The following is a 16,720-nucleotide window of genomic DNA, read 5'->3' as shown; positions in this document are numbered from 1 at the left end:
GCCAAGAGCTGCTTCCTGAATCAAGAGTTACCTGTAGGAGGAGGCGTGGTCTTTCTCTAGAACCTCCAGTTCTGCACAGTGAATCTTTTAGAGCTTGTGAAAGGCTGCATAAAATAATACACCGGATTTGGAACATAGACACTCTTACATTTGTTAGTTTCTTTTCTTTTTCTTTTTTTTTTTTTGGTTGAGATGGAGTTTAACTCTGTCATCCAGGATGGAGTGCAGTGCTGCCATCTTGGCTCACTGCAACCTCCACTTCCTGGGTTCAAGCAATTCTCTTGCCTCAGCCTCCCGAGTAGTTGGGATTACAAGTGCCTGCCACCATGCCTGGGTAATTTTTGTATTTTTAGTTGAGACGGGGTTTCACCATATTGGCCAGGCTGGTCTCAAACTCCTAACCTCAAGTGATCCACCCGTCTCAGCCTCCAAAAGTGCTGGAATTAGAGGTGTGAGCCACCATGCCCAGCCTCATTAATTTCTTAATAGGCTCTTTCAGGAGTTATTGAGAAGAATATTTTACAATTCTAAGTGGAATATTTTAGCAGGAAGGACCATGGTTTATTTCTACGATAATTCTATTGTGGCTTAAACAGTTTCTTTTTTTATAATTTGGGGTATTCCCTCTACCACCTATTGTTGACTTTCGATCTTTGATATTTACCCTATGCAAATTCATCAACCCCTGATTTTACTTCTTCAAAGCCAGCATGAGGCTAGTCAAGCCTGGTTTCCTCTTACAGGAAGTAAGTCTTTGGCCCCATGGTATTTGTGTAACCAGGTTACAAGATTTAAAAATCTATTGCAAGTGACAGTAATTAAAAAAAAAAAAATCAAATGTGGGCTACTCTGGAAAAAGAAAGCATTGGAATGTAGACTTTATTTGTTCATTTGCAGAGACGTGAATCAGCTTATACTCGTTTGATTTCCACATTATTCATGGAGAGTCTAAAGTCAATTTCTGGGAACAAAAAACCAACTTGAAAAGCTGTTTAAATTCTATTAGTGGGACTTCCAAAGGTATAAGGGTTAAGAAAAAGAGAGGAGAAAAGAGAAAAGAGGGGTAGGGAGAAATGAAAAAGTGACACGAATGTGAGCCAGACAATGGAGATGGAGAAAAAGCAGTCAAGAGGGACAGAGGGCGCGGTGGAGGTCTGCAGGATCTGAAGATCCGCCTGTCTTCTCCGGACGCTCACCTCTTACCTGATCCCAGAAACAGACTGAGCTTTAACTCTGACCACATATTCCTCAGGGTGACGGAGAGTGGGGCCACCTGCACCCTGCCAGCCTTCCACAGCCCCTCTGCATGGGCTCTGCCCCGCACCCTACACGTGCTCTGAGGCATCCTATTGCAACAAATGACTTCCTCGGGCTTCCATTCCCTCCACCGCCTCTTTCTTCTCGCTCAAGCATCTTCAATGGTCTGGATGGGTTTCTTTGCTTCCATTTGTCACCTTCCACTCACTGGTCCTCGTCCACTTCCATCTTCCCCTTTCTCTAACATTGCTTGTACTGAGATCAGCAACATCCTCCTTTATTGCTAAACCTGCCAGGAACTCACAGGTTAGTTTTGCATCCTTTGACACTGAGGGCCATTTCTTTTCCTGGAATAATCTCTGTGAGGCAAATATACATTTTTAAAAATTTTGTTTAGCCTGTTGCAAAAAGATAAAGAGACTCTCCTCTTTTCGCTCAGAGCATTTTCTATTCATTCATTTATTCATTTATTCATTCATTCATTCATTGACAGAGTCTCCCTCTGTCACCCAGGCTGGAGTGCAGTGGTGCCATCCAAGCTTACTGCAGCCTTAACTTCCTGGGCTCAGGTGATCCTCCCTCCTTAGCCTCCTGAGTAGCTGGGACTACACGCACACCCCACTATGCCCAGCAAATTGATTATTATTATTGTGTGTGTGGAGATTGGATCTTGCTATGCAGCCTAGGCTGGACTTTGAGAGCATTTATTTTTTAGAAGAGGTAATTGAAAATTCTTTCTCTAGCCCTTGAAGATGTATGTAAAGCTTTCTAAAGCATACATAAACATCTTGCCTGCCAACCCAGAACTGTCCTCCTCAAGGCCATAGGAGACCTCTCTTTGAAAGGCAGGCATCCGGGCAGAAGGCGCCCCTGTCTCCCAGTTTCTGTGAGAAGGAAGGAACCTCAGTTCTTGGGGCATCTCACTCCCAGTTGCAAAACTACCTCCTGTCATAGATAAGAGGTTTGTTTTTCCTGTAGATAAAGCCAATTAACCACACAGAGAATCAACCCACTTACTGGGTGAATTTAGGATGAACTATGTGTGACAAATGGTGCCATTGAGTCCTTTCAACTGGAAACTAGTCACCGTCTATCTGGAGACCATGTGTGTAACGGGTTGCACCTGCTTGGCTGGATCCAAAGTGGGATTTATTTCTGACTTTGTCATCTCTCAGCAGATTGCATCACATTTTGGCTTAATGCTTAATCATAAGACAGGTTTCTTTTACGTCTACGGATGTGATGGGGGTTTCTGGGATGAGCAGAAATTTCTTTCTTAATTATATTTTTCCAGCACCCCCCACCCAACCTGCCCCACCTTCTCTGAAGCTACTTCCCCCAGGCTTTAAAGGCGGCTGCTCCCCGGGGTTCCTCCCGGGCCCTGCCTCTCCTGGTTCATCTGATCTCCCACCCTGGAGGCATCATAGCTTCCCTCCCTTCCATGTGCTGATGCCTCTCGGATCTCTAACTCTAGGCAGAAAACAGCTTCTCAGTTCCTCAGCTCAAATACCCACCTTGGGACGGGCATCTTCACCGGGACATCCCGCTGGAAACTCTCCTGGTGGAACACGGTGCATGTTCTCTGGCTGCCCTGCAGTTTTTAAATGCCACCAGTACACATGGGGAATGTTCTTCTTTCCCAAGGAGGAAGCCGGAAAGTTCATTTTCCCAGCACTCCTTGCAGGAGGGACACCGACACGGGTCCAGGCTTTCCCCATTAGGTGCTCCCGTGAAAGACTCAGGATCCTGAACAGCACCAGGAAGCAGAGGGTGCATGGCACCGATTTGCTTTTTGTTTTTGTTTTAATTTTTTCAGTGGGGATCGGGGACAGAAGCTTCTGGTGTAGAAGCTTCTGGACCCCAGGGCCAGCCTCAGCAGTGCAGGGTGCAGGGTGTGGTTTCTGCCTCCTGCGGTAGCCAGAAGGTCTTGACCAGAGCTGTCCTGTGCCTGTGGTTTGGTCCTTGCCCTGGGCCCTGTGGCCTCCAAGCTGGCTTCATGAGGGCCCTTGGAGCTTGGTGACCTTCCTACCCTGTCCTTTAACCAGTCCCTTTTCTGCTTCTTGCTGGAGTGAGCTGGGAGGTTTTTTCTGAATCTGCTCCTGTCCTGGGTTCTCCCTTAGGGAAGGGCACCCTGGGCACATGACCCCTCAGCCAGATGCCCAGCAGATGCTCTCATGCTTCCACTTTCCTTGCCCCTTTACGTCCGGTGATCACTCCTTTCTGTCCTTTCCATGTCCTACATCTCTCTCTGTTGTGTCCTGTCTTCTGCACCCTGTGGCCTCCACCTAGGTTTGCATCACCACCCATTCCTCCTTGAATGCATACAGTTGTCTCCCTGGGTCTACCTGTCTCCACAGTGGCCACCAGCATCCGAGCCAGCTTCTTCTCTGTGTCAGAGATGATCTTTTTCAGGCCTCCTCTGGCCATGGCCCTCTCCTGCTCCTCTTTCCAGAGTTCCCAAGTCTCCGGGATGCACTCCAGCTGCTAAGAGAGGCCTCAAAGTTTGGGTGATGTGGCCTCCACAGTCCTCCTGAGCAGCCGCCCACCTACCCTTATCCTTTAGCTCCATTACATTTCCTTTTTCTGTTTAATTTTTTGAATAGGTGTTGTATTTAGATGGCTCAGAAATTTGCATCTGTGTGTATCCGTATATGTGTGCAGGCATGAAGAGCCTGTGTCTCATACCTGTTCCCTGTGCACCCAGGTCCTAGCCCCACACCAGCCTCAGTGGCCAGCTATGCTGTTCATGACCTGCAAAGCTTTCTACAGCTGTTTTATGCAAAACAATAGGAATTATTGCAAATTATGGTAAAATATATATAACATAGAATTCAACATTTTGACCACTTTTTTTCTTTTCTTTTCTTTCTTTTTTTTTTTTTTTTTTGAGAAGGGGCCTCGTTCTGTCACCCAGCCTGGAATGCAATGGGGTGATCTCAGCTCACTGCAACCTTCACCTCCTGGGTTCAACCGATTCTCCTGTTTCAGCCTCCTGAGTAGCTGGGACTACAGGTGCATGCCACCACACCCGGCTAATTTTTTCTATTTTTAGTAGAGAGGGGATTTCATCATGTTAGCCAGGATGGTCTCGATCTCCTGACCTCGTGATCTGCCTGCCTCGACCTCCCAAAGTGCTGGGATTAGACGTGAGCCACCTCGCCTGGCCCATTTTAACCACTTTTAAGTGTACATCCAGTGGCAGGAAGTACATTTAGGTTGTTGTTCAACCACCACCACTGTCCATCCCCACCCAGAACTTTTTCATATTCCCCAACTGGAATTCTGTACCCATTAAACACCAACTCCTCTTTCTCCCTCCCTCCAGCCACTGACAACCACCTTTTCATTTTCTGTCTATGCATTTCATGACGTTAGGCACCTCTGTTAAGTGGAATCATGCAATATTTGTCTTTTTGAGTCTGGTTATTTCACTTAGCAGAAAGAGCTCAAGACTTATTCACGTTGAAGCACGCATCAGAACCACCCTTCCTGTTATGGCTGAATCCCATTCGTTTGTATGTATAGACCACGTTTTGTTTATTCATTCACAGATGGATGGACACTGGGCTTGTTTCCAACTTTTAGCTATTGTGAATAATGCTGCTATGAACAAAGACATGCAAATATCTGCTGGGGCCCCTGCTTTCCATTCTTTTTGGAATACACCAGAAGCCGAATTGCTGCATCTTGTGGTAAGTCTATGATTAATTTTTTGAGAAACGACCACAGTGGTTGCACCATATTACATACCCACAAACACTACACAAGCGTTCCAATTCCTCTTCGCCAACACTTTTCTTTTCTGTTTTTCTCTTCTTTTTTGAGAACAACCATTGTAATGGATGTAAGGTGGTATCTCACTGTAGTTGTGATTTTTATTTTCCTAATGATTAGTGATGTTGAGCATGTTTTCATGTGCTTATTGGCCATTTGTAAATTAATTTTACATTTCCTCCTTTGTAATGTAAGAGGTAGCACACCGTGCATTGTTCTGCTTCTTGTTTTTCTCACTGTGTGGTGTATCTTGGAAACCTTTCCCGGTGCACAGACAGAAGGATACCTCATTCTTTGCCACAGCTGCCCAGTATCCATGATGAGGATCATGGCTCATGACCTAGTTCCCTACGGATAAACATCAGGGTCGTTCCTGGTCTGTGGCCATCACCAACACTGCCGTGACTAGTCTAGAATGGGTGCCATTTCATGCATTTGCAATTCCCAGAAGTACACTGGTTAGTCAGCAGGTGAGTGCATTGGTGAGAGGATGTGACTCCAGTCTCAGGAAATATGGAAACCTTCTTCCCTTTCTAGCTCCAGCACCCCCAGTCTGGACAGCATATGGAAAGCACACATGATCATTTGAAAATCACAAAATAACTCTAAATTTCTGCACAAGTAGGTCATCTACCACTTGTCATTCTAATCCCACACTAGGCACTTTAAGAACATGTGCCCCTGGGATTTTGCTATACCCTTTTCTTATGTTGGTACCCACCTTGTGGTGACTGAGGGTACTCTTAATATCCCCAAGTCTGAGGAAACTGAGGCACAATTCGATTATCCACTTATGAAGTGGTGAAGCTGTGAATTAAACTTATAAGACATATCCACTTCACACTCCAGAAAACTTCATCATTCCCAACATTATTGTCTTCCACCATTGGGAAAGAAATACTTTTCTTGGTAATTAGAGGAGAAAAGGTGTTTGGTGTTACATTGTCACTTTCTTGGTGTAGACCAGATACTTGCGGGTCTTTCCTAGGGCCAGTGAGTCCTAACATGTTTGAACATCTACCCATGCTATTTAAGGCAGCACACCAAACACATTCCTGCTTCAACTGCAGTATCTGTTTCATCAAGAAGAGTATTTTCCTTAAACAAGTTTGAGGTGCCTACTACTTGGGGAAATACTAAGCCTTTGGTATGCTTCTGCTCATCTAGGCATGATAGGGCTCCCTCATTACTTTGGTCTTCAGTTTTCTGAATCTGCTTCTGGAAAACACTGCAAAATGTCATTTTTGGGAACTTCTGCTTTGCAAATACTTTTCATGCCTATGTGATGTGCTGTTATTCTCTCTCATTTCCTTGCTGACATACAGTCATGTTTATGAAGGAAGTTATGAGCCAGTTAAGACTGGAGCTGAGTCAGCTAGATTTGCATGCATTTTCAGCCCCAGTGCAGGCTCCTACAAGTCATCACATGTCTAGTCTCAAAGTACTTGTAGAATAGCATCTGATTATTATTAAGTAGATTTTTTAAGGCCTCTCGAGGATAAAGATCTGAGGTGTTATATCCATTGCTTTCCTCCCTCACACTGTTTTTGACTTTTAATTCTTCCCTTTATCCACTTTAATTTCTAGTCTCCCACTGCTAATTCTCCATATGACCCATCCCCACCACCACCACCCTCAACAGCCACCAGTGAGAATTCTTACTACCTGAACTTTACTGTGACAAAAATCAACCTTGGAACTGTGGGCTAAATAGTTCCAAGAGTCCTGATGAAGTTCTCAGATGCAGGCAAAGCTAGGTCTCCTGATACCCTGTCTTAGTCAGTTTTGCATTGCTATAAAGGAATACCTGAGTGAGGCTGGATAATTTATAAAGAAAAGGTTTATTTGGCTCACAGTTCTGCAGGCTGTACAAGAAGCATTGCACCAGCATCTGCTTCTGGTGAGGCCTCAGGGAGCTTCCACTCATGGTGGAATGGGAAGGGGAGCTGTTGTGTGCACAGATGACATGGTGAGAGAAGCAGCAAGAGAAAGAGGAGAGGAAGGTGCCAGGCTCTTTCTAACAATCAGCTCTTGCAGGATTGAATAGAGAACCCACTCATTACCATGAGGGCAGCACCAAGCCATTCATGAGGGATCTGCCCCCATGACCCAAACACTCCCCGTAAATCCCCATCTCCAACATTGGGGATCAAATATCAACGTGGGGTTTACATTTTCCTGCAAACTCATGTGCTGTGCACTCCCTCATGTCATCTATGAATGATCACCTGCCCCAGGACTTCGTTGAAGGAAAAGCTCAAATCATATTCTAAGAGTTCTGGGGGTAAAAAAGCAAAAAACTAACTCTACTGACTCCCTTGTTTGTCTCCCAGTGTTTATGGAGGGTGACCGGTGTTCACAGCCCTCTGCCAGGCATGGCAGATACAGAGGTCAAGGAGATAGACATAGCTCTGCCCCCGTGGAACTTGTAATATAGTTGGGGAGACATATGAAACCATTGCTCACGTGAAGGTCTGATTGCCAATTATTACACAGGCTAGCAAGGGAAAGAACAGAGTCAATGACAGAACGGCTCTGGGCACCTAACTTAATTCAGGTCTTGTAAGGCCAAGGAGTGGGCCTCACTACAGAAATGGCGTGGAAGGTGAAATCAGGAAGGAGTAGAAGTCCAGTTTCTGAAAAGTTAGAACACAGATTCATCATATAACTCAGCAATTCTACTCTTTCATGTCTACCCACCCCCCAAAAAATGAAAACATATGTCCACCCAGAAACTTGTACATGCATGTTCACAGCAGCTCTATTGATAATAAAAGGAGGAAATGACAAGAAACTACCAAAAGAGAACAATGTGAAGGGCTGGGTGGAAGTTGGTTCTTCAATGAAATCTCACAAATTCCAGTGTTTCTAGTACTTCTTACCAACACTTACATGTATTCACCCTAATTAGCTCATGTGAAAAGGATCTTCCTGTATTTCTAACGAGCATAATTTGGAGAGTAGATAGATCTCAGGTAAGGATTTTGGAGCATGACAAATGAATTACTGGACTCAGTCCATTTTCTAACTTAACATCACTCGCTTACTTAGCAGTACGTGATGTTGGTGAGAAGAACCAGCAGAGGACACAGGAATTAGAAGAAGAGCTCACATCTGTCCATGATTTCTATTGCATTTCAGTTTATGTGGTCATTGGAGACTCAGTTTGTGAAGGTAAGCCAATCCTTGCTTTGAGGAAAATATACATCTTTAGGGGAAGATGGGTCTTACCAGATGAAAAGATAATAAATGAAAAGAGGGAGAAGGGAATGCATGGTGGCCCTGAGAAGCCAGAGAAGACAATTACATGAACATGGACGTCAACCACCGAATGTTGTGTAGGTCAAAAAAGAAAAGCAAAGGACTGGAGACCAAGCAGAAGGGCTCACACCCCTACCAGCTACTCAGGAAGATGAGGGTGAAGGATCTTTTGAGCCCAGCAGTTTGAGACCAACCTGGGCAACAGAGTGAGACCCCTGTCTCAAAAAAAAAAAAAAAAAAAAAAAAAAAAGAGAGTGAGAGACTGGGAAGTAGAAGCTGAGATGATATGAGGGTCACCTGTGGCTTGGACAGGATTAATGCAGGGACCATTGGAGATCAGAGACAAACTGGAGAAGGCTGCACTGAAGAAGTGCAGATCATGAATGTAGAAAGCTTGAGAAGTTTTTCCAATCAGGAAAGCCAAGACGTGGGGCTGTCACTACAGGGCAAAACAGAGCCTGCAGGGAGTCATGCAAAAGTATTTGTCTCTTTTGAAGTTTGGTGTGACATGAGGGATTCAAAGAGAGTTGACAGAGGAGGGGAAGCTTTTAAACTCCAGATGATGAAAAAGCTCAGAAAGGAATCTTAACGTTCTTCCAAAGGGGATGAGATGGACAGAGTTTAAATTTCTCTTTCAAAAAATGATGCCTTCGAGGGAACAATAAGAGGAGAGCAGGCTAAGAGTTCAGCCAGGTGGATGAAAAGCATGGTTTTTTCAGTTAAATTTGTGTAGTCCTGCAAGTGTAACACAGACAGATAATTCCAGAGCTCCTGGGTCACCATTCCCTCTATCTTCTCAGACCCCACTCAGCAGAAGAGATGTTTGTTTATGGCTCCACCCAGGAAGTAACTGCAAGCTCCTATGACTTCAGCATCTGAAAAGTACTTCAGATCCAAACTCTGGCTTCCTGCCCTGAACGGAGTTCATCCCCACTCCCCTGTCACCCTGCATAAGATTTCAGGGTGACATTGTCAGATGTGGTCATTAATCTCCTTTTAAAAATGCAAATCACCTCAGAACATGACTCTGCTCATCACCTGTTTAATCAGATCGCTTCCTTCTCATTTGTAGTTGAGAAGTGCTTGGAAGACGGAAGCAGGGAAGAGGGCAAGGAAAGAAGGGGAGGATGGGAAGCAAAACACTTTTGAAGAAGAAGCACAGCAGGAGAGGAAGTAGGTTTGAGCAGGTACTTGATAGGACGTTGGAGAGGTTGAGTGTAACAGGCCAGAAAGAAAGAGGGAGCTAAGAAGAGGGTTGTCAAGAGATTTGGAGAGGGGGTCTCAGGAAGGGGATGACAGTAGACAGCATGATGTCCCGAGCACTCATGTCTGTTATTCAGTTCTTGGGTGGAGGAGGTAAATGTGCATATGGGAAGACAGGATTAGAAAACTACCATCTGAGCTGTTGGGGGCCTTTCTTGAATACCAGAGGAGCCCAGTAGCATTCTAAAAAGTAGAACACTGCACGCATGCTACAAAATTCAAGCACTTATTTTCCTTGCACAATTCAGGTCCTGCTGTCTTCTTTGAAAACTCAGTGACACCCCTACTGTGGGCAGCACAAATGTAGCAAGATCAGGTTTGGAGAGCAGCATGCCCTGTACTCTCCAGGGAAGAGTGTCCAGTGTCTGGAGGCAAATCACTGTGACCTTTTTTTGTCCCCCTGACCTTTCCTGGGACACTTCCACAGGGCAGCTTTTCCATGTGTGAAGAGCCCTGTGGTAGCAGGCACTTGGCTGACTCTTTTCTATGGTGGGCACAGATTGGATGGGAGTATCCTGTCCTGAACCAGCTTCTAGAGCTGACCGCCAGCTCCGAGGAGGCACAGGTGCCCACACATGAGGGTCTGCATATGAAGGTGATGTTGTGTGGGTCCAGCTTTCCAGGGGAAGCAGAATTGGGGCCCAAGTTCATAAAGAATCCCACCCCCACACCAGTGCCCAGGGTGGGGTTGCAGGCCAAGGGGCTGACCACGGGTGCTGGGAGAGTTCCTCCATGCTGAATTTTCAGCCTTTGTTTGGATAGAGAGTTATATGAAAATGGCAGATGTCTGTGTGATGGTCCCTTACCTGTGAAGGTCAGAGGTGATGAACTCATGAAAGAAACCCAAAATTCTCTGTTTTACGATTGGAATGGTTAGTATTCCTCCTCCTAACCCAACCATGTTATGGCCTGGAGGGCATTTTTAAACATTATTCTGTGCCATTTTCTGCACTGATTGGAGTCTGCATTTCTCCCGAAGAATGTCACTATTATGCCCCCAAATTAGACACTCACTCATAGCAGCACCCATAAAGATAAAGTTTTGAACTCAACACTGGATAGTCATTTCCAAACCAACATTGTTATACATTATTTAAAGAAAGTCTTTGCACTCCCATTAGGCTGCTCAGGCAGCCATAACAAAGTCCCACATATGGGAATGCTTAAACAGCAGAAATTGTTCTTACAGTTCTAGAAGCTAGAGGTCTGAGATCAAGGTGTCAGCAGGGATGGTGCCTCCTGAGGCCCCTCTCCTGGGCTTGTAGATGGTGTCTTCTCCCTGCATCCTCACAGGGTCATCTCTCTGTGTGTGTCTGTGTCCTCATCTCCTCTTCTTAGAAGGACACCAGTCCTATTGGATTAGGGCCCACCCATGTGACCTCATTTTACTTTAATTTCCTCCTTAATGACCCATCTCCAAATACAATCATTCCCGGTACTGGGTGTAAGGATTTCAACATAAGAGTTTTGGGGTAGGTGTGGCACAATTCAGTCTGTAACATTTCTGTTATATAATGCACTTGTAAATATCATTAATTTTCAAGTAAACCTTGTTGATGGTTGCTTCAAATCTGCCTTTCTTTTAAAAATATCTGTTGTGAGATATTCAAAGGAAAACCTTCCTTCATTAGAAATGAAGGGACACACCTGTAATCCTAGCACTTTGGGAGGCCAGGGCAGAAGATCGCTGAGCTGAAAAGTTTAAGGCCAGCCTGGGCAACATAGGGAGACCCAATCAATACAAAAAAACTTAAATATTAGTGGGGCATGGTGGCAAACACCTGTAGTCCCAGCTACTCAGGAGGCTGATGCAGGAGCATCACTTGAGCCTAGGAGTTCAAGGCTGCAGTGAGCTATGATTGTGCCACTATACTCCAGCCTGGGCAACAGAGTAACACTCCATAAATAAGTAAATAAATAAATACAGAAATAGACCCCATCTCTAAATAAATAAATGCATACATAAGTGAATGAATGAAATGAAGGAACAATCCAAGGAAAGAACAATATTCATCCCAATGGGATCTTGAGCTCTGAGTAAACCTAGGATTTTCTTCCATCCTTTAAATGTATGACTTTTTTTCCTATAATTTCCTTTTTGTTGTTTTAATATAAGTATATAGTAACATGAAGTGACTAAGTAACATGTATTCATTTCTTCCCAATCACAATGGTATGAGTTTTGAGAATAATATTGGTCTATGTATCAATTTTGAACTTTTTTCCCCTACCCATTGCACTATACTACTGGGAAGAATCCCTGTTCTTTTTAAACCTTTTCGTTTGTTTATGTTGGTCAAATGCTACAAGCAAGAGGTATCAAAACTAATGTCTTTCTGTAATCTCTCAGAAATCTACACACTTCACCTAATTTTAATTATTTTTAAAGATTATATTAAGCATCATGAAAATGAAAAGAACCCCCTATGTGTTCACTGTTGGGGGCTCTGAGGGTGATTTATACAACAAATTGGAATCCTCTTTCGTGTATTGCCAGCCTAAGTCACATAGCCCAGATGGATGCTCCCTAATATTTCATGTAAATATCTGCTAGGCTCACCTAGGCCAAATGTCTGCTGCACTCATCTGGGCCAACATTTTGGGAATTCCCAAGAGAAGGCTTTCTGCACAACAGCATGTTGAGCTCAAGTGGGAAAAATATACTCTATAGCACAGATAAAACGGGAGGGAAAGAATAAAATTTAAATTAAGGTAAAAGGATATATATATATCTGCATCCTCTGGTGCATTTCAAACAAATAGCTTAGAATTCAGTGTGGCTGTCGATATAAGCAATCTAATTGTTTTGGATTAAAGAAAAAAATGATGGCTCTATACATCCCTCTAATAGAATTACAGTTCCTCATCAGGTTTCTTCCTGTAGCTCCTCATCCTCATTAATAGCATTTTTGCATAGTCTGTCCTTATACAGCATTAAAACTGCCATCATTAGACTGGTAAAATTTTCTGTGCCTTATACCTGTGACTTTTTGGATTTGACTAGATTGGACATTCTCTTCAGTCCCCCCCTCACCCCATGAGATTCATTGGAAAGAAACAAAAAGGAATGAATTTGAAAGAAGGAATTTATCTTTTCTTTTCAAATGGTAGTGTAAGTATATTTTTGTCTGATTTCCTTTATGAAACCAATCCAAAGCAAACAAGAGAAGAAGAAACAAACAAATGTTATCTTTGATGAAGCTACAGGTCCCCTATAACCCTGGATCACAGTAGATGCAGGAAGATAGCCAAGTGTATGAGAAGTGGATGGAGGTATTTGGGAAATCCAAGAGAAGATGTCTTTCTATGTGTGACTCAGGCAGAGTGGACTCAGCTCGTAGTTATCCAAAGTGGATGAGTGGCACACATTGAAAGGAAATGTGTCTATCCCATGCTTAGAAAGTTAAGATCAAGGTTCATGGCCTGGTTTTGGAAGCCTACATCATGTTTCAATCATGGCATAGGATAGAAGGAAGAGTCAATAAGATAAAAGCTACCTGGCCGTCTTTGCCCAAAGCTGCCTGGTGAAGATAAGTCAAGGTAAAATAATCACGTTAAAATGTTCTGTAAAATGCACAGCCTCCTTGTGAGCCCAGAAGATGTCCTGCTATGCTGGACCAGATAACCCACAGGCCAAGTCCAGCTGAGAAAAATCCTAGAGATAACAGATTGAAACCCAATCTTCCCATTTGTTTGGCACATTCCTCTTCCCCTTTCACCAGAACTTTGCCCAAAATTCTAGTTTAAAAAGATGAGGAACAATGCTACTTAAAAAGGGTAGAGCCAGCTGGGGGCCTTTAAAATGATGCTGAAATGAAAAAAAAAGGACAGAACATGATTTATGACGATAACACCTGGAAAGATTATATACCACAATGGAGCCAAAAACCATGAACAAAGTTATTTCTAAGGAATCAATTAAAGACAATATTGTTTCTCTGAAATGAGAATTTAAAGACGCAATATAAGGCTTTAAGGAAGAACTGATAATACATTAGGTTAAACGGGAATGAAAAGTGAGTGGGTAAAGCCTCAGAAATAAATTAGGAATAAATGAGAATGAAAAGGGAGTAGACAGAGTCTTGGAAACAAATTAGAAACAAATGAGAATAAAAACAGAATAGGCAGAGCCTCAGAATCTCAGAGAGAGAGACACAAAAAGAGACCAAAATCAAAGGTCATGATAGAAGCAGCAAAAGGGAGATGAGACACTACTGAAGGAATTCAAAGGATGGTTTTGAGAAGAAAAAATGAGCAAGTGAGATGGAAAAGAACAAAAAGTAAAAGACGGAAGACAGAGATAGAGAAAAAGAGGGGGATGGGAGGGGTGGTAGGGAAGAGATCAAATATCTTTAACACTAAATGCCTTGCATGGGTTAAAAAATGAATGGAACATGAAAACAAATTTTCAAAGATACAATTCAAGGTGAAATTCCTGAAATACAATGAAATTTGAATCTGCAGACAGAAATAGCCCAAGAATTACAAGGCTGTGTTTATATTGAATAATTAACAAATACCCCAATAAATTCCTGGTATTTGAAGTTATGGAAAGAATTCTGTGGATATTCAGAAAAAAAAACCTAGGAGGCTAATATTTCTTTATGTGACAGATGAAATGCTAGAAGACAGTGGGGCAAGATATAAAAAGTCCTTGTCCCTTTTGTGTTGCTATAAAGAATACCCGAGGCTGCATAATTTATAAAGGAAAAGAGATGATTTGGCTTATGATTCTGGTGGCTGGAAAGTTCAAAATTGGGCATCTTCATCTGGTGATGGCCACAGCCTGCTCCCACTCATGGCAGAAGAGGAGGGGAAGCCAGCATGTGCAGAGATTACATGAGAGAGGAAGCAAGAGAGAAACCGGGAGGTGGCCCACTCTTTTAAGAAGCAGGTCTTGCAGGAACTAATAGAGGAAGAATTCATTCACCATCAGGAGAGGACATTAACCTATTCAATGGGAGGGCTCTGTCCCCATGACCCAAACACCTTCTATTAGGCCCAGCCTCCAATATTGGGGACTAAATTTCAACATGAGCTTTGAAAGGGTCAAATATCCTAACCTTAACAGTCCTCAGGGAAAGAAAATGTGCCCCAAGAATGCAACCAAACAAACTTCCATAAACTTCAAAGGCTACAAATAGCTATGTACAAACATACAACTCAGGAAATATATATTCATGAAGAAAACAAATGAGTAAAGGTTGGACTCTCAGCAACTGAGAGGAGCTGTGTCTAAAAGATTTCTTGTAATCTTTAACGATGCATTATGGTTAAATCTGTGCAAATTATGGTCACAGAGAAGAAAACAAATACCATCAACTGTGACAATGTGGAGATAATGTAAGTAACTGATTAAAAATAAAATAGCAAGTGTAGTTGAAACTGAAATTGACATCAAGGGGACACTGATTTTCTCATTTTTAGTTCCAAGATTCCAATATACGTTGTTTTAAAACTTATATCAGGCAAAACTGCACGTACAGCATGTGTATTCATTTCAGAAAAATAATTGCATAAGTGGTTAATGACACCAGGAAACCTAATTTTTGCAGACTATATATGTATTACCTCAAAATAAGAATATTATTGCATTACATTCATTTTAATAATATTTAGTAACAAACCCATATGTATCTTATAAAAAGTTATAGTCTATTTTGTTCCAATTCAATAAAAATCATTGATATTAATTAAGCAACTTCTATATACAAGGTGAGTAGTTTTCAACTGTGAGTCTGTTTTGTCTTAAGGAAGTTAATATCCCTTAATCCAAACTTTCAAAATAGTATTCAAGGAACAGGAATGTTATTCTTAAGTTGAAAATACTTTGCCCATACACATAATCTAGTTGGATCCATAAAGAGATTGTGGTATTTTGATACCTAATAATTTCTTTATTAAAAAAGAATTTATCCCCTAATAAAATTAAAAATAACTCTCTATGAAGATAGAGAACTAGACCTGCTGATGTTAAAAATGAAAAACTCAGTTGGATATTGCAGGTTTTCATGAGCAGCAGAGTGTCAGAGCTTTGGACATGAGTTGTTTCATTTTGCATTTCATAGCCCTGTGTCCAGAAACTTCATTTTGAAGTTTAGACAAAGTGGGGAGCAGAGGGCAGTATGGGCCAGTCCTGTGAATTTTGCAGTTCTGCATAGGTAGATTATTAGATAGATACACAATAGATAGATCATAGATGGATAATTATGATGATGATGAAGATAGATACATACATATATACATACATACATAGATGCATGGATGGACAGATTTGTTTTTTGTAAAAATTAAAATTATAAGAAACACCCACAAGACTCTACAATAATAATTAGAACTAAATCTCTCAGAGATGTATGTCTTGACATTCTGGGGCCAGAAATGACATTTTTCTTCTTTTTAAAATACCTTTCCTAGAAAGAGTTGCATGATGAATACTTCTTGAGGATACTGTTGAAAAAAATCTCCACATAGAAGTTTGAACTTTTCATGTAAAAAAAAGTGCATGTGTGAATCCAGAAAGCACATTTGTGTTACTCAGTATCACCACTTATATCAGTTGGGATGGTTCAATTTCAAGTTACATAATACCTGAGTCAGATTGGCTGAATCAACATGGACATGACTTTCTCAAGTTAAGGAAAGGTCCAAGGTAGGGCTGGTGCCCTGCTTTGTCTTGTCCCATCCATACCCTTTATTCCAAATCTCTCTCTTCTACCCTACCCTAACCCATAGCCAGCAAACTGTAATATGCCCTCAAATGTTTCTTAAAATATTCTTCTCAACTTCTGTCCTTAATTAAAACTAAGTTGTCCTCTGAGGACCCTGACTCTGTTTCTATCTGTCATCGCTTAGGGCTTGGTTGGGTCACAGACATGACTGCTGCTTCAGGACCATCTCCCTTCCTTTCACCTTGAAAAGTCCTGTCTCTTGACAAGTCATGCTATTCTGCTCTATTGGCATTTACCCATCTCTCTTTGCTGTCTTCTATCAATCTGCTGGTCACACCCCAGTATGTATTGACAATTGAAGCTCTGGGGTTCGCATGATACTTTCCACCTCACTCTTAGCAGTACATTGGCTTGGTTCAGCATCCATGTTGATGCCCTCCCTCCACTCCAGTTGTTCTTCCCTGAACTTTGTCATCACCACTTTTGGCACCCCC

This window comes from Homo sapiens, chromosome 19, assembly GCF_000001405.40.
Source record: "Homo sapiens chromosome 19, GRCh38.p14 Primary Assembly".
Taxonomy (NCBI): domain Eukaryota; kingdom Metazoa; phylum Chordata; class Mammalia; order Primates; family Hominidae; genus Homo; species Homo sapiens.
Note: the sequence above shows the minus strand (reverse complement) of the source record.